At 40.9% G+C, this 24,922-nt stretch overlaps 2 protein-coding genes and 1 long non-coding RNA gene across 39 annotated transcripts in view; 1 reads left to right on the plus strand and 2 right to left on the minus strand.

Annotated features, from left to right (window-relative positions):
• Positions 1 to 24,922, plus strand: part of CSPP1 (centrosome and spindle pole associated protein 1) — a 132,247-nt gene that overhangs the window by 92,220 nt on the left and 15,105 nt on the right. For 35 of the 36 annotated variants that reach the window (XM_011517598.3, XM_047422253.1, XM_047422245.1 and 32 more), the window contains 9 exons: positions 1,860 to 2,009; positions 2,404 to 2,550; positions 5,224 to 5,328; positions 7,145 to 7,211; positions 7,804 to 7,921; positions 15,829 to 15,968; positions 18,709 to 18,849; positions 21,093 to 21,139; positions 23,276 to 23,339. In XM_011517598.3, the coding sequence (XP_011515900.2) occupies positions 1,860 to 2,009; positions 2,404 to 2,550; positions 5,224 to 5,328; positions 7,145 to 7,211; positions 7,804 to 7,921; positions 15,829 to 15,968; positions 18,709 to 18,849; positions 21,093 to 21,139; positions 23,276 to 23,339 (979 nt within the window). Of the gene's footprint in view, positions 1 to 1,859; positions 2,010 to 2,403; positions 2,551 to 5,223; positions 5,329 to 7,144; positions 7,212 to 7,803; positions 7,922 to 15,828; positions 15,969 to 16,181; positions 16,386 to 18,708; positions 18,850 to 21,092; positions 21,140 to 23,275; positions 23,340 to 24,922 lie in introns of those variants that run through there. The other variant, XM_047422258.1, reaches the window with a different exon arrangement.
• Positions 8,142 to 10,978, minus strand: LOC124901956 (uncharacterized). The gene is made up of 2 exons (XR_007060954.1): positions 10,945 to 10,978; positions 8,142 to 9,087 (listed from the first exon to the last, which is right to left on the minus strand). It is a non-coding gene; the product is annotated as an uncharacterized LOC124901956 (long non-coding RNA).
• ARFGEF1 (ARF guanine nucleotide exchange factor 1) overlaps positions 16,924 to 24,922 on the minus strand; it is a 170,271-nt gene continuing 162,272 nt past the window's right edge. For both annotated transcript variants that reach the window (NM_001413186.1, NM_001413187.1), the window contains exon 39: positions 16,924 to 18,985. In NM_001413186.1, the coding sequence (NP_001400115.1) occupies positions 18,968 to 18,985 (18 nt within the window). In that variant the 3' untranslated portion in view covers positions 16,924 to 18,967. The remainder of the gene's footprint in view (positions 18,986 to 24,922) is intronic.

Here is a 24,922-nt window from a genome sequence, read left to right on the forward strand (position 1 = left end):
ATGGTATTTATTATTACTGTCAACAATATAATGTCAGATAAAAAGTATCCAAAACTTTTGTTAAAAAAAATATTATGAAATGTTCAAATCTGTGCACAAAGATGGTAAGAAATTAGCCTGAGGTCTGTACAAGTAAGTTCCACAGTTAGCTCAAGTTAATGCATCAGAAGTCTTCATGCTGTTAAAATTTGGTGAATATTAATAACACTTGTGAATGTTTGACATTTTTAACCACAGCTTTAAAAATAGTTAACAAATAAAATATTTTTAAGAACTCTGAAGCATTTTTGTGTTATGTAATTGGAAAACCATGACAGGAAGATAGCTTTCCCTGCTTTCCAGACCAGAAACCTGTTGAACAACTGTCTAGCATTCCTGTTGGCACTGAGCTTTGGATCCATTAGGTGTATGATCCATTAATAGCTTAAAAATTGGTATTCTTTGATTTTGATGGAAAAGTGACCCCTGTGAATGTGATTTTTTTTTCCATGGAGTAGGAAGAAGGGGGAATTGAGTATTGAATATGAAATTTTGATGAATTATAAATGATGTTTTCTTTAGGCATATTGGACTTGAAGAAGTGATTGCATGCAAATTGCTAACTAAAAGTACTAAATATTAGGCTTATGCATATTTAATAATGTTGTGAGAAAGAAGTGTTGGAAAAAGCCCTAGTATATAAAATCATAGGATGTGTTAGAAGATTAAAGTTCTTTTTTTTTTTTAAAGACAGAGTCTCATTCTGTCGCCCAGGCTGGAGTGCAGTGGTGCAATCTCGGCTCACTGCAACCTCTGCCTCCTGGGTTCAAGTGATTCTCCTGTCTCAGCCTCCTGAGTAGCTGGGATTACAGGCACACACCACCACGCCTGGCTAATTTTTGTATTTTTAGTAGAGACGGGGTTACACCATGTTGGCCAGGCTGGTTTCGAACTCCTGACCTCAGGTGAGCCACCGCGCCTGGCCAGATTAAAGTTCTTGTAGCTCAAAAATTAATAGCACTAGATAGAGCAACCTTGAAGCTAGAGGAAGTACAGACAAGAAAAACAAAAATATGCTGAGTAGTATGATCCATACCTAAGGATAACTAAAATCTGTTGATAACTTTAAACCAGAGACATGAATACCTGGTTCCCATGCTGCTGTTCTTCCCTGCCTCATTCATCGGGCGTGTGGACTATCTATCTCTTAGGGCCTTCTTTCCTTCAAATCTTAGGCTCTAGAGTACTCAACGCTGCAGACTCCAGGTAGCATTCAAGATGAAACTTAATTGTGAGTCCTTGTGACCTAAATCCTCCTCCACCTAATAGTTTTAGTTCTTTCTCCATTAACCTCTATAGTTAGGAAATAACAAAGGGCATTTGGGAGAAATGGCTCTTGCATTAAAAAATGATTGAATACTAAAATACTAATTTCACTGTTATTTTAGAATAATCAATTCCAAGAATTTTGACACATAATAGCAGCAATCACTATAGAATAATATAATCATGAATTAGTTGCTTAGAACCTTCTATATAGGAGGACTTTTATGTTCCTTACATTGTTTCACTTTAATTCTTTAAGCACTCCTTTGAGATGTAGGCGTTAATAACTGTGTTTACCAGAAAAAAGAGAAAACTGAGGACAAGCAAGTTTCTTAAGGTCACACGGTCTGTTTGGTGGAACTGGAATTTAACTCAAAGCTTTTAACAGTACAGTAAATCATGTAGCCTCCCTGAAAATACAGGAGACTGAAAAATTTAGGAACATGCAAAAAGAGGGTACAAGTGTTGAGTTTATATACTATCAGGAAAAAAATAAGTGATATTCTAACTTTTCAATAGTTTTACAAGATAAATAACTAAGTTTAATTCTTTAGATTGAGGAAAAGAAACAAAGAGAGGAAGCAGAGCGAGAGAGACTGAGAATTGCAGAAGAAAAAGAAGAAAGACGGCTTGCAGAACAGAGGGCACGAATTCAGCAGGAGTATGAAGAGGAACAGGAAAAGAAAAGAGAGAAAGAGGAGGAGGTACATCTTTTTTCCCTATTGTATTTTACTACTTAGTCTGAAGGTGAAATCTTTGACTTGAAAAGGTATTTCTTACTTATAAAGGAGAACAGTGTTGGAGTACATTTAGAAAATATCAGATCAATATACATTCTTTGGATATTATTTTATTAAGGTGAAAGGGTAATTTAAGAAAGGAGATAAGTGATGACTTTAAAAATATAGATGTAGGCTGACTGAAGACTTTATAAAAGATGCCTAATATTTTATTTTTAAGCAGACAACTTATGTTAAAGAACACCATATCATGTCATCTATATCTTTATCTCATTTTATCAGATAAATAAGGCAGCACATTTTTGAATGTACTATAGAAGGAATATATGGAATGCATATTTCTCTTTTTATTTTAAAGCAAAGGCTAAAAAATGAAGAGCATATTCGGTTAGCTGAAGAAAGACAAAAAGAAGCAGAAAGAAAGAAGAAAGAAGAAGAAGAAAAATATAACCTGCAACTTCAGCACTACTGTGAAAGAGACAATTTGATTGGGGAAGAAACAAAGGTAAGTTTCAGACAAAAATGTCAATCAAACCCATAGTTTAACTCACTTTCACTGTGAGAGTTGTACAGTTGTTAGAAAAGGGGAGAAAGAGGAGGAGGTGCTTTTGTTCCTGTTCTGTCTTACTGTTTAGTCTGGGCACAATGTACTGAACTTTCTGTAGGAGGTACTGTCACTGTGCTTTGTTGGTATTTTCTGTCCATTGAAGGTAATGGATTTACTTACTTGAGCCATTCTTAGTCTCATTCCCATGGTGTATGCGGTGCCACCCAAGAATATGGTCTGCAGACAGTACAACATGAACTGTTTGTTATGGTTCATGACAAGACTAATACAGAAAGTGAGAGTGGTTTATATATATATATATATGTATTCTTTTTTTTTTTTTTTTTTTTTTTTTTTTTGAGACATAATCTCGCTCTGTTGCCCAGGCTCTGGAGTGCAGTGGCACAATTTTGGCTCACTGCACCTCCACTTCCTGGGTTCAAGCAGTTCTCCTGCCTCAGCCTCTCAAGTAGCTGGGACTACAGGCACACGCCATCATGCCCAGCTAATTTTTGTATTTTTAGCAGAGACGGGGTTTCACCATGTTGGCCAGACTGGTCTCAAACTCCTGACCTCAGATGATCCACCCACCTCTGCCTCCCAGAGTGCTGAGATTACAGGAGTGAGCCACCACGCCCGGCCTTCTCTCTCTTTCTTTCTTTCTTTCTTTCTTTTTCTTTCTTTCTTTCTTTCTTTCTTTCTTTCTTTCTTTCTTTCTTTCTTTCTTTCTTTCTTTCTTTCTTTCCTTTCCTTCCTTCCTTCCTTCCTTCCTTCCTTCTTTCTTTTCTTTTCTTTTCTTTTCTTTTCTTTTCTTTTCTTTTCTTTTCTTTTCTTTTCTTTTCTTTTCTTTTCTTTTTCTTTTTCTTTTTCTTTCTTTTTGTTTTAAGAGACCAGGTCTTGCTATGTTGCCCAGGCTGATCTCAAATTTTTGGGCTCAAGTTATCCTCCTGCCTCAGCCTCCCAAAGTGGTGGGATTGCAGGTGTGAGCCACCACACCCTGCCTCACAGATAATTTTTTATTGTAAAATTCATCATTTAAGAATTTAAGGTCGAGGCAGGCGGATCACTTGAGGCCAGGAGATCGAGACCAGCCTGGGCAACATGGTGAAACCCCGTCTCTATAACAAATACAAAAATTAGCTGGGCGTGGTGGCAGGCACCTGTAGTCCCAGCTACTCAGGAGGCTGAGGCAAGAGAATCGCCTGAACTTGGGAGGCGGAGGTTGCAGTGAGCCGTGACTGCACTGTGGCACTCCAGCCTGGGTGACAGAGCGAGACTCCATCTCAAAAAAAAAAAAAAAAGAATTAAACAGAATTGTTAGTTTCCCATAATTATATTTCTTGTAATTTCTTATGTTTTTTAAAAATGCTATTTTTTAAGGAATATATACTTTTATGATATTATAATTTAATTGTAAAGTACCATAAAGTTTTAAATCAGCTTTATCCCATTTAATGCATTTGCCTTTCTGAAATTAACATTGCTATCATTTTCTTTCATTTATGTATGTCTGATATATATATATATTTTTGTCTATTCCTTCAGTTTTACCTTTGTGTCACCATATTTTTTATTTAGTTAGCTTCTATCTTTAGTTTGTTGAATTTTTAAAATCCTAATCTGAGTTATAATCTTTTTATTTTTATTTATTTATTTATTTATTTAGAAATAGAGACTCGCTTTGTTGCCCAGGCTGGAGTGCAGTGGTGCAATCTCGGCTCACTGCAACTTCCGCCTCCCAGGTTCAAGTGATTCTCCTGCCCTAGCCTCCCCAGTAGCTGGAATTACAGGTGCAAACTACCACACCTGGCTAATTTTTATTAGAGACGGGGTTTCACCATGTTGGCCAGGCTGGTCTTGAACTCCTGTCCTCAGGTGACCTGCCTGCTTGGCCTCCCAAAGTGCTGGGATTATAGACATGAGCCACTGCACCTGGCCTAATCTTTTAAAATAGGGATATCTAAATCCATTTATGTTTATCAAAACTAATGTCTTTGCATTAATTGCATTTCTGACTTTTTTGTGTTTTTCTTCCTTGATAGCTTTTTGGTCTTTTGTTATGTGTACTATGGCTTGTTTGCTCCATCCTCTACAGGGATTTAGAATGTCTATGTTGTATTTACAATGAAGTTTTTGGACTATAAGGTTTAATACACTATAAACTGAAATATAGAACCCCATCGTGATCTTGAAAAGTCCCTCATCCATGATGCTGTTAGTGATTAGATCTAGATTTTCGAGGTTGATTTGTATTGCTTTCCAGAAGGATTTTGTTATTTAATTTTTTTGTATTGTCATGGTACCTTTTTATTATTAAAGATGATTCTTTAGTTTTGTTATATTTTTTCTTTTTTGTTGCTTTACTTGTGTTTGTTGATTTTTTAAATCCTAATCTGACAGTCATACTGTTTTAATAAAGATGTCTAAATCCATTTATGTTTATCATAACCAACATGTTTGATCTTATGTAATTGAATTTCTGACTTTTGTAGAAAGCATTTTATTAAATAAAAGCAATAACAATCTAAACTTCTTAGATGACTTTCTTAACTATAAGGGGTGTGTGTGTGTGTATATATGTGTGTGAGTGTGATGAAGCAAATATGCTCTTAAATTTTTTAAATTTTTCAGCACATGAGACAGCCTTCTCCTATAGTTCCTGCTCTTCAGAACAAAATTGCAAGCAAACTCCAAAGACCTCCTTCAGTTGACAGCATCATACGTTCCTTTATTCATGTATGTACTTTTGTTTTTATTTGTTCATCCTAGCTCAGTTATTTTGGATTGGGGGATCGAATGAAATTTTCTTTTTCATTATATTTGGATAGGTTAAATTTTTTCAGATCTGAAATATAGGTGATATCTACAGTAATTTGCCTGCTGCTTCGATTGTAACTGATAGTGCTTGGTGCCCTAAAGTTTCTTTTGACAAACCATAATTTAGCCCCTCAAGCTAGGTAGCTGTAGATATGCTCATTGAGTCTGTTATACTTTAGATTGAACTACAAGGAAAAGAGAACATGGAAAATGTTCTAAGATTGATCCTCAAGGTGATGCTTGAAGAATATGCAGGAATTTGCCTTGAAGAGGAGGGTGAGGGATTATCAGCTTGTGGAAAGTCGTGGAGAGCAATGTAAGCTCATGGCACATGTGGAGAATCTTCCATGGTGTGGTCTGGCCTGATGATGCTTGTGCATTAAGGCAGCAGAGGAGGTGGAGGTCAGAACATGTGTGGCATGCTGTACGGAGTGCTAAGAGCTTTGATTTTGTTCCATAGGCTGGTAGATTCCAGACAGGCTAATTAGCAGAAGGTAAAGAAATGTGTCAGAAGAACATGTTTCTGAATTCCACCCTTTGAGATTCTGATTTAGTAGGTCTGTGGTAGATAATGCATAGGAATTCATTGTAATATTTAAGTAGGGGAATGACATGGCCACTTTTGTATAATGTTTTTTTAGGCAATGGTGTGGAGATAAGTTTTGGAGGTGGGGCAAGACTAAACATGGAGATAAGATGCTTTTGCACAAGTCCAGATGTGAGACTGAGGACCCAAACAAAGGCAGTGACACCAAGAACTGTGAAGGTGTGACAGCTTTATGATACATTTAAGAGACATAGTAGTACTATTTGTTGAGTGTGTGGTGGGTAGGAGTCTATGATAACTTTCAAGTTTTTGGTGAGGGTTACATAGAGTAGGCAGTTGAAAATATGAATTGTGGCAGCAGAATGAGTTCTGGACTCGATTTGTAGTTCTGGACGCCATCAACATATTGGTGCTTGTTAAATTAGTGCCATTGTCTACGATGAGTGTCTACAAGAGAAGTAAAGGAGGCTGAGAATAGAATACTGGGAAATTACCAACATTTGAGAAGCAGTGAAAGGAATGGACAGAGGGTGAGAGAGGATGGCAGTGACGGCAGTTGCGACTGGCCAAGTAAAATGCCCACTGAATGTGTCACTTGGGGGTCACTTGATGACTTTGGTGAAGGCAGTATTGTTGGAGTGATGGGTGTGAAAGCAAAGGCCATAGCTGTGTGTTGAGAAGTGAATGAGAGTAGGCAGTAGACCCAAAAGTACTGCATTTACTGTTCTTTAAGGAAGCTCAGCTGTGAAGGGAAGGACAGAATGGACAGGAGACAGTGAGCAATGAAGGATGAGGTAAAATTTTTTTTTAAGAAAGGGAGAGGTTTTTACACATAGGCTGAGAGGAAGGTGCTTGGAGAGAGGAAGTTGGAAAAAAGAATAATCGGAGGAGAATGGGAGTCAATTATCAGATACAGAGTACAGGTGAAGGGATTCTGTTTGGGTAGAGGCAAGGACACTTCCATCGTGATGAGAAGGAAGAATAGATTTACATGGTAGATACACTCTAGAATAGATATAAAAGGTGGATATACTCTACCTTGGGTAGAGTATAGCTGGGTAAGTTTTGGAGGTAGGATAGTGTGGAGTTTGGTTTCCTTTACATATAAATACTTCAAAAAATTACTCCCTTCAAGCTTCTGTGTAGGGAAGACATACTGAACATGTCTTTGTCATTATTGTTGAACAGGAAAGTTCCATGTCCAGGGCACAGTCACCCCCGGTACCTGCCAGGAAAAATCAGCTCCGTGCAGAAGGTAGAGTTAACTACTAAACCTGTTACCTAGAGTATTTCTCTTTTTAACTTTTCATTTTGAAATAATTATAAACTCATAGAAAATTGCAGAAACAGTATAGAGCGGTTAGGTGCTGTGTACCCATTCTCCAACTTTCCCCTGGGGTAACATCTTAGATAGTATAGTCTCATAGCCAGGAAGTGGACATTGATGTGGTCCACAGACCATCAGATTTTACCAGTTTTTACATGCATTTATGTATGTGTATTTCTGTGCATTTTTATCATGCACAGTTTGTGCGACTACCACTGCAATCAAGATACAGAACTGTTCCATCACCGTAAAGGAACTTCCTTGGGCCTCTCCTTTATAGTTGCACTCCCCCAAGAATATCGCTTCTGAAATTCCTATATTATAAAAAATGTACTTGTGGGTCCTAATGACGTTCACAATTATGATCCATGTATGTGTGTATATATAAAATGTTAAAATATCTTTCATAAAATTGTCTCTCTGAGCAGTTTCACTTTATTATTAGTCAGGTTGTGTTTTAATGTTTAGTCTTTTGTTCTTATTCCTGTCTTGTGTTTTACTTATCAATGGGAATTTGCAGAGGAGAAAAAAAATGTAATTATGGAATTATCAGAAATGAGAAAACAGCTTCGTAGTGAAGAGAGGCGTCTACAAGAGCGATTGCTACACATGGACAGTGATGATGAAATTCCTATCAGGCAAGTTTAGAATTGCAGTTTTTGTGTTCGCTTGAGTTCTTTTATCTTACTTCACCTATCCAGTAATTTTGTAGTTTGGGAACAGGACTAATTCATCTTACTTAAAATCTCCTTACTTTCCTTTTCTTTGTCTTTTACAAAATCAGCTGTAGAAATTTAGTTCTCAAGGGGATTCATGTAGGAATGGAAATTTCCGGGTTGGAATAATTACAGACAGTAGTTGCATTTTAGAACTGTTTTTTATATTTTCCATTAATAACGTAGCTTTCTGAAATACTTTTTTTCAACAAAATCACGTACGGGCTACCGAACATTTCTGATCATTTTTGCCAGGAGTCATAAATTTCATGAAGCAGTGTTCTTCAAACTTCAGTTTGCACTGTTTTAGTAGGTTGTAAAATCAACATAGTGGGTAACTACCACATTTTCTTTCTTTCTCTTTTTAAAAATAAACTTTCTATTTTGGGGTAATTTTGATTATAAAAAAGTTGCAGGCTGGGTGCAGTTGCTCACGCCTGTAATCCCAGCACTTTTGGGAGGCCAAGGTGGGCGGATCACGAGGTCAGGAGATCGAGACCATCCTGTCTAACACAGTGAAACCCCGTCTCTACTAAAAATACAAAAAATTAACTGGGTGTGGTGGCACGCCCCTGTGGTCCCAGCTACTCAGGAGGCTGAGGCAGGAGAATGGCGTGAACCCAGGAGGCGGAGGTTGCAGTGAGCCGAGATCACACCACTGCACTCCAGCCTAGGTGACAGAGTGAGACTCTGTCTCACGAAGAAAAGTTGCAAACAATACAGAGAGTTTCTGTACACCCTTCATCCAGTTTTCCCTATTGTTAACATCTTATATTACCATGGTATGTTTGTCACAACTCAGAGGCTGACATTAGAACATTACTATGAACTAAATTTGAGACTCTTTGGATTTCTCCAGTTTTCTACTAATGTTCTCCTTCTGTTCATGGGCCCCATACAAGATGTACCACATTGCATTTAGTTGTCATGTCTCCCAGTCTCCTCGGGTCTGGGACAGTTTACCAGTCTTCTGTTGTTTTTCTTGTGAAAGTCTAGATGGGCACTGGCCAGGTATCCTGTAGAATGCCTCCTCCTCCAGTCTGGATTTGACTGATGTTTTCTGATGATTAGACTGGGATTAAGGGTTTCTGGAAAGAAGAGCACAGGCATTGTTCTGACATCACATCATCACATTGTATCAGGGGTACATGATATCCACATGATACCTCTGGAAATGTTAACCTTGGTTAAAGTAGTGTTTGCCAGGATTCTCCACTAGAAAGTTAACTATTCTTTGGTCACAAATGACTAAATCTAGCGCACCTGCAAGAGTGAGAAGGGGGTGGAATTAAGCTTCATCTCTTGGAGCAGGGGTTACCTATATACAGTTTTTAGAATTCTTCCATAAGAAAGACTTGTGTCTTCTTCCATTTATTTATTTATTCAATCGTTTATTTATTACTGTCATCTCATGTATATTTATCATATACTTTGGGTTATAAGCCAGTGCTACATTATTTTATTTCACAAATTGTTCCAACTTTGGCCATTGGGAGCTCTTTCAGGTTGGCTCCCGTGTCTCTTTGACATGTCCCCATCCTTTTGTTTTTTGAAGACTTCTTTCCAGATGCCTCAGGATCATCTTGTATTTCCCCTGCCCCATCCCTAGAATCAGCTATTTCTCCAAGGAGCCCTGGTTCCTTTTGGAGAATGTATTTAGAAACCAGATAAGCTGGGTCTGCTTATTGCTGGGTGTCACTGCTTCTAGGCCCTCTGGATAATATATGTATGTTATACTAAGTCATAAATATAAACATATCTATAATTGTTCCTATGTCTATTTGTATACATATTAAGTTTATGCTGATGTCTGACTGTAATCCAGTATGTGGTAGGATTTTAACATAGCACGTTAATTTGACTACTTATGGTTTGTTTAGATTTTTGTTTGTATTCTCCAGGAATATTGAAACAAGGTAAACAAGGTGAGGAAATTTCAAGGTACAGATTGGCTTGATAATGAAATGTTAATCCAAGGTGGTAATTTTCAGTGATTCAATAATTCTCCCATAGTAGGTCAATACGTTCCAAGCAATTGAGAGGTAGTGTTTTTTTTCTATATTTACTTTTACAGTGTTATAAATGCCTTAACTGTGCAGCTTTCCAACTTCTAAACATGCATATTTAATTCAGTTTAACGGTTTTTTTTTTTTTTTAATTGATCATTCTTGGGTGTTTCTCGCAGAGGGGGATTTTGTAGGGTCATAGGACAATAGTGGAGGGAAGGTCAGCAGATAAACAAGTGAACACAGGTCTCTGGTTTTCCTAGGCAGAGGACCCTGCGGCCTTCCGCAGTGTTTGTGTCCCTGGGTACTTGAGATTAGGGAGTGGTGATGACTCTTAACCAGCATGCTGCCTTCAAGCATCTGTTTAACAAAGCACATCTTGCACCGCCCTTAATCCATTTAACCCTGAGTGGACACAGCACATGTTTCAGAGAGCACCGGGTTGGGGGTAAGGTCATAGATCAACAGCATCCCAAGGCAGAAGAATTTTTCTTAGTACAGAACAAAATGGAGTCTCCTATGTCTACTTCTTTCTACACAGACACAGCAACAATCTGATTTCTGTATCTTTTCCCCACATTTCCCCCTTTTCTATTTGACAAAACCGCAATCATCATCATGGCCCGTTCTCAATGAGCTGTTGGGTACACCTCCCAGACGGGGTGGCGGCTGGGCAGAGGGGCTCCTCACTTCCCAGAAGGGGCGGCCGGGCAGAGGCACCCCCACCTCCCGGATGGGGCGGCGGCTGGGCGGAGGCTGCCCCCCACCTCCCACCCGGACGGGGCAGCTGGCCGGGCGGGGGCTGCCCCCCACCTCCCTCCTGGACGGGGCGGCTGGCCGGGCGGGGGCTGCCCCCCACCTCCCGGATGGGGCGGCTGCTGGGCGGAGGGGCTCCTCACTTCCCAGACGGGGCAGCTGCCGGGCGGAGGGGCTCCTCACTTCTCAGACGGGGCGGCTGCTGGGCGGAGGGGCTCCTCACTTCTCAGACGGGGCAGCTGCCGGGCGGAGGGGCTCCTCACTTCTCAGACAGGGCGGCCGGGCAGAGACGCTCCTCACCTCCCAGACAGGGTTGCGGCCGGGCAGAGGCGCTCCTCACATCCCAGATGGGGTGGCGGGGCAGAGGCGCTCCCCACATCTCAGACGATGGGCAGCCGGGCAGAGACGCTCCTCACTTCCTAAACGGGATGGCGGCTGGGAAGAGGTGCTCCTCACTTCCCAGACTGGGCAGCCGGGCAGAGGGGCTCCTCACATCCCAGACGATGGGTGGCCAGGCAGAGATGCTCCTCACTTCCCAGACGGGGTGGCGGCCGGGCAGAGGCTGCAATCTTGGCACTTTGGGAGGCCAAGGCAGGCGGCTGGGAGGTGGAGGTTGTAGCCAGCCGAGATCACGCCACTGCATTCCAGCCTGGGCAACATTGAGCACTGAGTGAACGAGACTCCGTCTGCAATCCCGGCACCTCGGGAGGCCGAGGCTGGCAGATCACTCGTGGTTAGGAGCTGGAGACCAGCCTGGCCAACACAGCGAAACCCCGTTTCCACCAAAAAAGTACGAAAACTAGTCAGGCGTGGTGGCGCGCGCCTATAATCGCAGGCACTTGGCAGGCTGAGGCAGGAGAATCAGGCAGGGAGGTTGCAGTGAGCCGAGATGGCAGCAGTACAGTCCAGCTTCGGCTCGGCATCAGAGGGAGACCGTGGAAAGAGAGGGAGAGGGAGGCCGTGGGGGAGACGGGAGAGGGGGAGGGGGAGGGGGAGAGGGAGAGGGAGACCTAACGGTTTTTTGACATTAATTTTTCTTTTCATTAATAAATTCTTTTGGCAAGCCAATATGATTTAAGAAAGAGTACTCGAGCAGCGCCTCAATTTTCTCGCTTGAAAATTATACATGATAATTTCTACCCTTTGAGAATCTAGTGAAGAATAAATAAATGTATGTATTTGAAATAAATAAATAAATATATGTATTTGTGACTCTTAAGTTCTAACTTAAGTTATAAAACATGTTACATTTATCATCATTTAGCAAGAATTGGTTAAATACATTTACTTTGGAATAATTTTAATACATATTCTGATTAAAGACATCTCAGAGTTGGTTCTTTATTGCAATTTCATGAATATATGTACAAAAGGAATCTTGTATTCACTAAATAATTTGCCATATTCAACTCCTATTATGTGCTAGGCTCAAAACAAATGTGATGTGGCTCACATGTGAAGATTTAGTAACCTACTTCCTAACTTATCAGTGTATAACTATTAGCATTAATGGAAACTAGACAGCAGTCCAATTTAATGGTCTCTTGGATGTCTTTTTAGTATTTTGCATTATAGTAAATCTCCATAGAGTTCCTTTCACCTTAAGTATTAGAGGTCTCTGTCAGCCTTGACCAGAGTCATTTTGTGGCCCCAGTGAATGCTCCCCTGCAAAAGGGAAACTCCATTAGAGCAGGGGCATTGTCTGTGGGGATCCCAGCTATCTTGTCTTGGTGCTTAGGGAAGATTTAATGATAAAGAAATGATGGGAGGAGTCTGACTAAGCCTCATAATGACCATAGCTTAGAGCTCCATTTTCAAAAATAGAGGAGACCTAGTGCTGACTGAAGCAGCAGTAGGTATTTTATTTTATTTTATTTTATTTTCAGGACTAGAAACACCATCCCTCTTTTATCATCACTCCCTCAAAGCCCTGGCAGAAAACACCCTTACTACCTGCTATCTATTAATTTCTTAGGTACCACAGGAATCAGTTAACTAGTTAGGTTATCAAGTTCCTTGTAAAGTCCATTGTAAAGTTAATGTTGGGTCCTCTGAATAATGCCCATATTGAACTACGTATTAGTACCATATTTCTGTTTTTATTTTTATTTTTTTGAGACGGAGTCTCGCTCTGTCACCCAGGCTGGAGGCATGATCTTCGGCTCACTGCAACCTCTGCCTCCCGGGTTCAAGTGTTTCTCCTGCCTCAGCCTCCTGAGTAGCTGGGATTACAAGTGCCCACCCCCACGCACGGCTAATTTTTGTATTTTTAGTAGAGACAGGGTTTCACCATGTTGGTCAGGCTGGTCTCAAATTCTTGACCTCAGGTGATCCACCCGCCTCGGCCTCCCAAAGTGCTGGGATTACAGGTGTGAGCCACCGTGCCCGGCCAGTACCATATTTCTTTTTATATTTTTGGAGACAGAGTCTCTTTCTGTCACCTAGGCTGGAGTGCAGTGGCATGATCTTGGCTCACAGCAACCTCCGCCTCCTGATTCAAGTGATTCTAGTGCCTCAGCCTCCCAAGTAGGTGGGACTACAGGTGCAGGCTACCACACCTGCTAATTTTTGCATTTTTTAGTAGAGACGTGGTTTTTCCATATTGCCCAGGCTGGTCTCGAACTCCTGAGTTCAAGCAATACGTCGGCTTCTCAAAGTGCTGGGATTATAGGCGTGAGCCACAGGGCCCTGCCTATTACCATATTTCTATGTGTGATTTGTGTCTTAGGCTGAGGGGAAGGTAATTTATTGATTATCTAATGCATGTCAGGTACTATACTAGGTACTTAACAGTATAGCATTTATCTCAATTCTGACCGGATATGGTGGCTCACCCCTGTAATCCCAGCACTTTGGGAGACTGAGGCGGATGGATCACCTGAGGTCAGGAGTTCGAGACCAGCCTGACCAACGTGGCAAAATCCTGTCTCTACTAAAAATACAAAAAAAAAAAAAAAAATTAGCCGAGTGTGGTGGTGCGTGCCTGTAGTCCCAGCTACTTGGGAGGCTGAGGCAGGAGAATTGCTTGAACTGGGAAGTGGAGGTTGCAGTGAGCTGAGATTGTGCCACTGCATTCCAGCCTGGGCAACAGAGCAGGACTCTTTCAAAAAAAAATTTTTTTATCTTAATTCTGTTGTTCACCGTAAGACTATAAGGGGTAGACATCTGCATTTTACAGATGATGGAATCGAGGTCAAACTGCTAATAAATAACAGAGCTGGTCTTTGAATCTCAGTTTCTCTGACCTCAAAGACTGTGATCTTCATACTCCATGAACATTTTATTTTATTTTTTCCATGAACATTTTAAAGTAAGGCTGAATCATTCTATTGTAATAAGGTATCTTGCATCTGAGGATTTTGAAAAATTTCAATAACGTTATAAATATGCTATATTTTAAGGTAAAGGATGGAACTAATAGAGCTGTTCGAATAATTTATTTATTTATTTATTTTTGAGACGGCTTCTTGCTCTGTCACCCAGGCTGGAGTGCAGTTGCACTATCTCGGCTCACTGCAAGCTCCACCTCCTTGGTTCACGCCGTTCTCCTGCCTCAGCCTCCTGAGTAGCTGGGACTACAGGCATGCGCCACCCCACCCGGCTAATTTTTTGTATTTTTAGTAGAGATGGGGTTTCACCGTGTTAGCCAGGATGGTCTTGATCTCCTGACCTCGTGATCCGCCCGCCTCGGCCTCCCAAAGTGCTGGGATTACAGGCATGAGCTACTGTGCCCGGCCAATTTTTTTTTTTTTTTTAAGAGACGGGGGGCCGGGTGCAGTGGCTCATGCACGCCTGTAATCCCAGCACTTTGGGAGGCCGAGGTGAGCAGATCACGAGGTCAAGAGATAGAGACCGTCCTGGCCAACATGGTGAAACCCCATCTTTACTAAAAATACAGAAAAATCAGCTGGGCCTAGTGGTGCACGCCTGTAGTCCCAGCTACTCAGGAGGCTGAGGCAGGAGAATTGCTTAAACCCGGGAGGAGGAGGCTGCAGTGAGCTGAGATCACGCCACTGCACTCCAGCCTGGCAAGAGAGCGAGACTCCACCTCAAAAAAAGAGACAGGGTCTCCCTCTGTTGTCCAGGCTGGAGTGCAGTGGCATGATCACAGCTTATTGTAGCCTTGGCCTCCTGGGCTCAATCAATCCTCTCATCTCAGCAGTAGCCAGGACTACAGGCACACACTATCATGCTTGACTAATTTTGTTGTTGTTGTTGAGATGGAATCTTGCTCTGTCACCCAAGCTGGAGTGCAGTGGCGTGATCTTGGCTCACCACAGCCTCCTCCTCCTGGGTTCAAGCAATTCTCATGCCTCAGCCTCCCGAGTAGGTGGTACTACAGGCACACACCACCACGCCCAACTAATATTTGTATTTTTAGTAGAGACAGGGTTTCACCATTTTGGCCAGGCTGGTCTCAAACTCCTGACCTCAGGTGATTTGCCTGCCTTGGCCTCCCAAAGTGCTGGGATTACAGGTGTGAGCCACCATGCCTGGCCAACTTTTTTTTCTTTTTTGAGATGGAGTCTTGCTCTGTCACCCAGGCCGGAGTGCAGTGGTGTGATCTCAGCTCACTGCAACCTCCACCTCTTGGGTTCAAGTGATTCTGCTGCCTCAGCCTCCCGAGTAGCTGGGACTACAGGTGTGCGCCATCACACCCAGCTAATTTTTGTATTTTTAGTAGACATGGGGTTTCTCCACGTTGGCCCAGTCTGGTCTCGAACTCCTGACCTCAGGTGATCCACCTGTCTTGGCCTCCCAAAGTGCTGGGATTATAGGCATGAGACACCATGCCTGGCCTCATAATTTTTTTTTTTTTTTTTTTTTTGTAGCGAGGGGGTCTTGCTTTATAGGCCAGGCTGGTATTGAACTCCTGATTTCAAGCAGTCCTCCTGTCTGCCTCCCAAAGTGCTGGGATTACAAGTGTGAGCCACAGCACCTGTCCTAGAGTAATTTTTTAATAATATGATGTGGTGAAAAAGACCAAATTTCTTTTACAGTGAATTAGATGTGAACTCACCTATTTTTCCTGTGAAGCACATATTATGATTTGTCATTTATCTATAGGAAAAAGGAAAGGAATCCCATGGATATATTTGATATGGCTAGACATCGGTTGCAAGCTCCTGTCAGAAGACAGTCCCCTAAGGGCTTAGACGCTGCCACTTTTCAGAATGTTCATGATTTTAATGAGCTGAAAGATAGAGGTGAGTAGATTGCTGCTCTTTTAAAGATGTAGCAGAAGTGTTCTACCCATATTTAAATATCTATAAAGATCTTTGTACCCTTTTTCTAAAGTGGAATTTTATCTATGGTATGTATTTTAGTTAAAATGAAATGAAACTTATGTATTCTCTAGGTCTTCAGTTAACCAGTCTGGTAGATGAAGCTTTAGTTTGACTAACTGCTTTCTTTTGGAGAGCATACAGTGTTAAAGTCTGGAATGGATGAGATCGCATAGACTAGTACGAAGAATGGAACTTGGCATTTAATGGAGGATGGACAGACAAAGATGAGCTCATGAAAAATACTGAGGAGAAGCCAGAGAGACTGGAGGAGAAGCAGGAGAATGTAGGATCCTGAAACCTGAGGGGAAGGAGTATCAAGGAGACAGGATCATGTAAGGTGAATACCGGAAAATGTCAGTTGGATGAGGTCATTGGTGACCTCAGCTAGAGCTTTTTAAGTGGAATGATTGCCGATTAACTTTGGAATGAGGATTGACTAGGAGGCAAGATGTTGGAGACAATAGGCATAAGACTTTTAGAAGACCCTTGGCTGGGAAAGGGAAGGGAAGGAGAGGGATCAGGAGCTGGAAGAGTCCTTAGAATGTGAACGTGAGGAGCTATGCAGGAGAAAGAGGTTCAGGCTCTAGGAGAGGGAGAGTGATTGTTGAAGTGAAATCTAGGGGATTTGAGGGAAGAGTTAGGAGAAGCTTTGATGTAGCCACTTAGGGCTAATGGAAGAGAAAGTTTAGTAAGGAAACGAGATTTCCAGGGTACATGAGGCCTGGGAGATGGAGAATGTGTGGAGGAACCAAATGTGTGTTGTGTAATTTTCCTTTAGGCATATTCAGCAGAGCAGGTGTTGGAGCAGAAGGGGCAGATTATGGGATGTGTGGTCGTATGACGTAGGCCAGAAAACTGGAATTTAGGCTTTTTATCCTTTTGAAAATACTATCTGTTTATTATAGCAAATTTTCAAAATACAGAAAGATAGTAAGAAGGAAAAATCACTTTAGTCAAACTACCTATATGTAAGTACCATTATCATTTTGGATGTTTTCTAGTCTTTCTGAGCATAATTAAAAGAAAAAAAAAGATAAATTGTGTTATTTATTTAATTTTCTCTATTGTTTTTCACCTAGATTTACACGTATTATCAATTACGTATACTGTTATTTTTTATGCTATCAAATATTGATTACTTACTATCTGCCAGGCATTGTGTTAACCCAGTGGGTCTCATGAGGAGTTTGGTCTGAAGTCAAAACTGTTTGTATTATAAACTAAGACATTATTTGTCTTTTTCATTCTCATTCTCTCATGTGTATATAGATTGGCCAGAGACTACATGACATGTAATGATTTCATCTCTTTGAAGCTAGCAAAATGTGTCCTTGTGTATTCTTGTGTTTTAGGAATCTCTTAGTTTTAATTTCTAATATGGCGTGTGTGTGTGTGACATACATAAGTAAAGCTCTTTGGGGTCCTCAATTTTTAAGAGTGTAAAAAAGATCTTGAGACCAAAAAGGTTTAAGCCATAGAATTGGGCTGTTCATTTCCCTGTGTTACTACATCTTGCCCTCATTCACCCATGACTTGGTGGTTGGTATTGTTTTTTTAATGAGTTTGGAAGCAGTGAAGCCAGGGACCAATCCAAGTTTATGTGTCCAGAAACTTCTGTTAACTTCTGAAAATGGCTGTTAACCATTTTCACTATTTTGTTCTTTTGATAATTTCTGATCATAAAGCTTTATACATATTTAGGACCATAAAACTACATATATATTTAGGATCATTTCTTTATATTCCAGCAGTGTAATTAGTGAGTCAAAGGGAATAATATTTTCAAGGCTTTTTATATGTATGAACTGTATGTTTCTTCTCAAGATTAAAAAATTTTTATTCTTGGCCAGGCACAGTGGCTAATGCCTGTAATCCCAGCACTTTGAGAGGCCGAGGCGTGTGGATCACGAGGTCAGGAGTTCAAGACCAGCCTGGCCAACATAGTGAAACCTCGTCTCTACTAAAAACTACAAGAAAAATTAGCCGGGCATAGTGGTGGGTGCTTGTAGTCCCAGCTACTTGGGAGACTGAGGCAGGAGAATGGCATGAACCCAGGAGGCAGAGCTGGCAGTGAGCCAAGACCGTGCCACTGCACTCCAGCCTGGGCGACAGAGCAAGACTCCGTCTCAAGAAAAAAAAAAAAAAAGAAATGGCATTCCCCCTCAAGTTCCAGCCAGTCTACATTTATCTTGCTTTCTGCATGATATTTGTAAGGACTAAAATATTAATTGGCCAGTAACATTATTTTTTCACGTTTCCAGTATATTTTAGAGATCAGCCGTGATTACAGTGTCTCATGGCTGCCTTAGTCATAGCCATGTGACCATCTGCTTGGATATACCTGCACGTAGTCTGTGTTCTGGGTGGCATCCTGGCAGGGCTAGGACAGGTAGAGATGGACAATGCAACATCCACTGCTTGTTCTGGGGTATTCCTTATGTTGGTAAGTTTGTGAAAAGACACTTATTAAAGAATATTAATTTCATATTCTTTAGTTTTGTGGCTATTTTACTGTCCTTTGACTTTAGTGATGTTTCACTATTTCTATCATTTCCTTGATTTTGAAATTAGGTTACTCATGTTACTTACAGTGAAGTTTTACAAAATCCCATTTGAAAACAACATTTAACTTAGTTATATAACATATTTTTTATACCAGATTCAGAAACACGAGTTGATCTGAAATTTATGTACCTGGATCCTCCAAGAGATCATCACACCTTAGAGATTCAGCAGCAAGCCCTGCTAAGAGAGCAGCAGAAGAGGCTGAACAGAATAAAAATGCAGGAAGGTGCCAAAGGTAAGAAATAATCATTGCTGTGTCAAATAGTATCAGCACGCTGTTTTTCCGTAGGCTTTCTGCATCTCTTCTATTGATTTCATTCCCAGGCATCCTCCTTTCACTGGCAGCCCCATGCTCACAGGGTCCGTTTGGTCTGTAGTACCAGAAAAGAACAAGTATGAGAGAGAGCTCTGAGTGGCTCCACTAGGGTGGTGTATTCATGCATGAGAGGGGCCCAGTCATTCACTGTAGCCAGGAGGACTGAATACTTTGACCAGGCCAGGTGACGTCTGCATCAGGAACTAGGAACCAAAGGAAGGAGTGTCAGGCAGACATATCAGTGCCCTGTCATGATGTGTCGGGCATTTGCCTACTGTGCCATGTCAGGCATTTGTCTACTGTGGTGTGAGTGTGTTTAAGTTTTGATGTGGCGTAAAATCTGTAAAGCATCAGACTGGACTATGAATATGTTTTCGTATAATCAACTAACTGAAAGATACTTAGTGGTTACTAGGAGTGCAGGTACTGGCCTATATCCAGGGGATATGGTGATGAGTGACATATGCTGCTGCTCTTGAGGAGGTTATATTTTGTTGGAGAAGTGTGATGCTAAAGAAGTACAACTGTGATGAATATCGCACAGAAGAAATCTAGGATGCTGTTGGGTTGGGGTGGGTGGGCACCTAGAAGCAGAGTGGGGCTAGTTGTCTCAGAGAGCACTGATGGGCCCTGACGATAGCCAGGTGTACTGCATGGCCTTCCCATCTGTATTTCACCAGCCTTCAGGCCATCGAGGTTAACCATGGAAAATGAGTAATGAAAACCCAACAATCAGATAACAAGAGTGGAAGGGATGCTCCTGCTAGTTATTTTTAAGAAAAGTTAAGACCCTATCTTGGGAGGCTGGTCTGGCTTGCAGAATCTGAGGAAGATTTTTTGACTTCATGAGATAGCATCACAGGAGTAAGTGATGCAGCAGTTTAGGCCCAGATCATAGGTCAAGACTTCAATAAACATTTGTATAGGGATTGTCGTCCCTTCATCTGGTACAGAATTTTTAATAACAGCCTCATAGCCCTGTGACAGAATAAGCCTAATTCTAGGATAAGCAGTAGGTATATCATCTGGAGAGAGGAGAGAAGCAAGTGCATTCTTCAACCTTTGTACCCAGTCTGGTGGCATTTTTCTTTAGTCTCAAAATGAAGATCTGATCTTGTGGGATTTTGGCAGCTTAGACTGATTAGCCCACAAGTAGTCCCCATGTGGATACAGGTACATTTTAGCACTGAAGGTATCTATCTCCCACAGCAGCCACTCCCCAACTTCCAGTAGACACTATGAAGACCTAATTCATAGGAATATGACCTCACTGGCCAGGCGTGGTGGCTCACACCTGTAATCCCAGCGCTTTGGGAGGCTGAAGTGGGCGGATCATGAGGTCAGGAGTTCAAGACCAGTCTGGCCAACATAGTGAAACCCCCGTCTCTACTAAAAATACAGAAATTAGCTGGGCATGGAGGCGTGTGCCTGTAGTCCCAGCTACTCCGGAGCCTGAGTCAGGAGAATTGCTTGAACCCAGGAGGTGGAGGTTGCAGAGAGCCAAGATCGTGCCACTGCACTCCAGCTTGGGCAACAGAGTGAGACTTAGTCTCAAAAAAAAAAAAAAAAAAAAAAAGAATATGGCCTCACTATAAACAATCACAAACATGTCTATTAAAATATCTGAGAAGGAATACAGGCTATCATTCGCAGCTTGTTTATTTTCAAAGGCAGTATCTAAAAAGGGCAAAATGTACTATTCACAGGAACACATAGGAAGGCTGGTCATATTGGAGAGGCTTTGGGATACCTGATCCAAGATCTTTGCCTCTGGAACTAAGTGCCTGGAATTGAGCTTATTTCAGTTCCATGTGAGGGAGCCCCTGTTTAACTCCATGCAACAACTTTCTACAGATTGTAGAAATCTGACAAGATGGTGAAGGATCCTGCATTGATCATTTTCTTTTTCTGTTGGCATTAGTTTTACATTTGCAATGATTTTACTTGTTATGTTCATTCATGTGAATGGGAGAATTTTATGCAGCTAGAATGGATGCAGGGCTATGTTTTTTAATAAGTGATATCTTTAAAATACTCTGAAGTGTGATAGTTGAAAAGTAATTTCCAGTAGAGAGCTAGTCAAAAAAGATATTCTAAAATTTAATTTATATAGTAAGCATTTTCTGACCTTTTAATTTGCTTTTGTTCTCCATTGACTACAGTTGACTTAGATGCCATCCCAAGTGCTAAAGTACGAGAGCAAAGAATGGTAAGCAACCAGTTACAATTTTTCAAGTTAGTTTTTGGGGGATTAAAAATCTTTAGGCATATGATGATCAAGTAATTCAAATTTTGAATTATTCAGGAATATTGAATTAAGAACGTAAGTCTTATCAGTAAAGTGGATAGCTTGAGAAGTGTTAGTGTAATATATATAGAAAACATATTGTAATGGCTAAGAACAAGATTCTAGCACTAGGCTGTTCCAGTGAGTCTATTTTTAGCTGCGTGACTTAGGGCAAGTTATTTAATCTCTTTATGCCTCAGCTTCCTAATCTGTAAAATGAGGATAATAGTACATAAATTAATATTTGCAAGGTACTTAGAGACAGGCCTGGCATATAAGTTTTATGTAAGTGTTTATTAAATAAATAAAAATAGCTCAAGTGCTGTTGTGAGAACTGAGATAATATATTAAAAGCCCTTACAGCAGTCCTGGCCCATTATGAGTGCAGTGTGAGTGTTTGCTGTCATTACCATGAGCAGTAGTGGGAGTAGGAGTCTGTTATGGAAGTAGTGTTGAGGTCTACAAAGAAAATAAGCAAAGGAAGGGAACAGAGAATGATAACACCCACCTGTATCCTGAGGGGGGTACTTTTTGTGCAAGACTGAATAAAGGGACAGGATGAGCTCTTTTCAATCAACAAATATTTATTATTTCCTATGGACAAGAAACTGTTCTAGGTGCCGGGGTATAGGAGTAAACAAAAGGGACAAAAATCCCTGTCCTGTGACAGGTTACATTCCAGAAGGAGGGAGAGACAGTAATCAAATAAATCAATAGTTTTTTGAATCATGGTGCTGTGGAGAAGACAACAGCAGAGAAGGCAGCTGGAGGATCCTGGGTGGGAGGGTTTATAGTTGGAAATACAGTGGGCATGGGGGCTCACTGGGTAGGCAACATTTGAGTAAGGACATCAGGGAGGTGTCTATGGGAAATGTGGGGGAACTTCTGGAGGAAGAACATTCCAGGAAGAGGCCCCAGTGGAAGTTGGCCTAGTGCATGTAAGGAGCAGTGGGAGAGCCATGAGCAAGGGCCAGTTGGGCACATGGGGCAGGGGGTGACGAGGGGAGGCAGCAGGGCCTTGGGGGCCATTCTGGGACTTTGCCTTTGACACTTGTGCATGTGATGGGAAGCTGCCAAGGTCTTTAAGTGGAGGAGTGACATGATCTGCTTGAGGTTTTTACTTGATCCACTGACTGCTGTGCATTTTGACTGAGTGGGACAGGAGGCTATTGTAGTAATTTAGGCAAGAGACAAGCTCACTTTCTGATTAAAGAATGCAGTGCATCATTGTAATTCATTGCCTTAAAAATTAATGGACAGCTCTTTGCTGGAGTGTCCTACTGAAGCCCAGATTATCTGGTAAGAAGGTGCAGGGAGGTGGAGTTGGATGACTTTAGGTTCCTTCTGACATGTTGGTTATTATTCTGTACTGCAAAATTCTCTATATGTAAATTTAAGTTTTCTCTAATTTGGGAGCTCATTATAATAAGCCCAATCTTAGCATTTTTTTTCGTTACTATACTATATGCTCCACTATATCTGTGCTGCATCATTGTGGCAATTGCTGTCACATAGGGCTGTCATAATCTGAGAGTATACCCCTCTCTCTCCCATGACACTGTGATCTACTCCAGAGCAGAAACTCTTAATTCATCTTTGTATCCCCAGTTCCTAGCATGAAAGAAATAGTAAGTGGGCTATACAGGTTTATGGAAATTCGGATGAATGAATCTTGGCAGTGGCTTAAAGACTTAATGTTTAATTGGGGTCTTTGCTTCATACTGTATTATATTTTCCATCAGTCATAATGTGATCCTTTTATTTGACTTCAACCATAAAGGGGCAGGAAGGAGTGGAGCTAGGGAGTAAATGTGTTAGCTTGTAGAATCTGTAGCCTGGAGAGAGACTGTCTTCTGTTGCTATCACCGTCTTCGTAGGAATTGTGTGTGTTAAGGCTTTCCAGTATTTTCTGAGCATTGGAATGTAGTCAGTCCTACCTCTACCCATCCTCTGCTTTTAGGGAGAACAGTGTGGAAACTTGTGCCTCTTCTTAGTATAAATTTGTTGTTTTTGTACACAAAACTAATAAAAATAGTCATTGAAACATGTTTCTTTTAGCCCAGAGATGACACTAGTGATTTCTTGAAAAACTCATTATTGGAATCTGATAGTGCTTTTATTGGTGAGTATATTTATTTTATTAAGGCTATATTGTTTAAATATTAAACCTTTCTCCACACTTAAAAACCAGTACTGTATTCCTTGTTGTACAAGGTAGTAAAAAAAAAAAAAGGAATATTCTTTTTTCTGTTTTAATCAGATATGCCTTGGAAAGTTTTCAAAATCAGAATTACTGAAATGAACTTTAAAAGTCTTAGGAATAGTTGACAAACCTGTACATGAATGTTCGTAACAGCCTCATTTCTAATGCCAAATGCTGGAATCAGCCCAGATGTCCTTCAGTAGATGAATGGTTAAAAAAACTCTGGTACATCCATGCCATGGAATACCACTTAGCAATAAAAAGGAACAAAGTTTTGAAACTTGGATGACTCTTCAGGGAAATAGTCTGAGCAAAAAAGACAATCCCAATAAGTTACATACTACTGTATGATTCAATTTACATAACATTTTTGAAATTACAAAATTAAGAAATTGAGAACAGATTAGTGGTTGCCAGGGGTTGAGGGATAGGGAGAGGTGTATATGGTTATAAAAGGGCAAGAAGAGGGATCCTTGTGGTTTGGGAACTGTTTTAACAACTTGTTTGCAGGGGTAGATACATACATGTAAATGGGAAATAAAATAATAATAATAGATCTTAATACACACATAAAAACACACAAATGAGTATTGGTAAGATGGTAAATTTGAATAAGATCTGTGGATTGTATCAGTATCGATATCCTGGTTGTGAGATTATACTTGAGTTTTGCAAAATGTTACCATTGGGGGAAACTGGACAAAGTGTATAAGGAATCTCTACTATTTCTTATACCTGTGTACCTTAATTATTTTAATCTATTTATAGTTCTCTTAATATTTCAGTCAAAAAAGTCATAAGACTTTTATTTAGTCTTCAGAAGATAAGTAAAGGTACCATGGGATCTTCTTTTTTTTTTAAAGTAGTATACACTTACGATTATGTACTCTGATCATGAGTGTTTCTGCTATCCTAGGGCCATCAGGGAATGATCTAGTCTACATATTAGTTGTATTTCAGGCCAATTACTTTAGATTTTCATGTGATAAAATTCCAAATTAACTTATATTTTTCTCTTAATGGTTTTTTTTTTGTTGTTGCTGTTTTTGAGAGAGGGTCTTGCTCTGTCGCCCAGGCTGGAGTGCAGCAGCACAATCATTGCTCACTACAGCCTCAAATTCCTGGACTCAAGTGCTCCTCCCATCTCAGCCTCCCCAGTAGCTGGGACTACAGCATGCACCACGATACCTGGTTATCTTTTTTATTTTTTTGTAGAGATGAGGTCTCCCTATGTTGCCCAGGCTGGTCTCAAACACCTGGACTCAAGGGATCCTCCTGCCTCAGCCTCCCAAATTGCTGGGATTACAGGCATGAGCCACTGTACCTGGCCATTTTTTTTTTTTTTTTTTTTTTTAATGAATTTTTCCTTTCCAAGGAAGATGCACTGCGGAGAGAAGGAAAGATAAAACCAGCAGGAGACAGGGATGGGAAGATTGCTTGTCAGGGAAATGAGACCTTCCTTCCTAACAGTGAAGATGGTCTGGGCCACTCAAGATGGTGTG

This window comes from Homo sapiens, chromosome 8 (genome assembly GCF_000001405.40).
Source record: "Homo sapiens chromosome 8, GRCh38.p14 Primary Assembly".
Taxonomy (NCBI): Eukaryota; Metazoa; Chordata; class Mammalia; order Primates; family Hominidae; genus Homo; species Homo sapiens.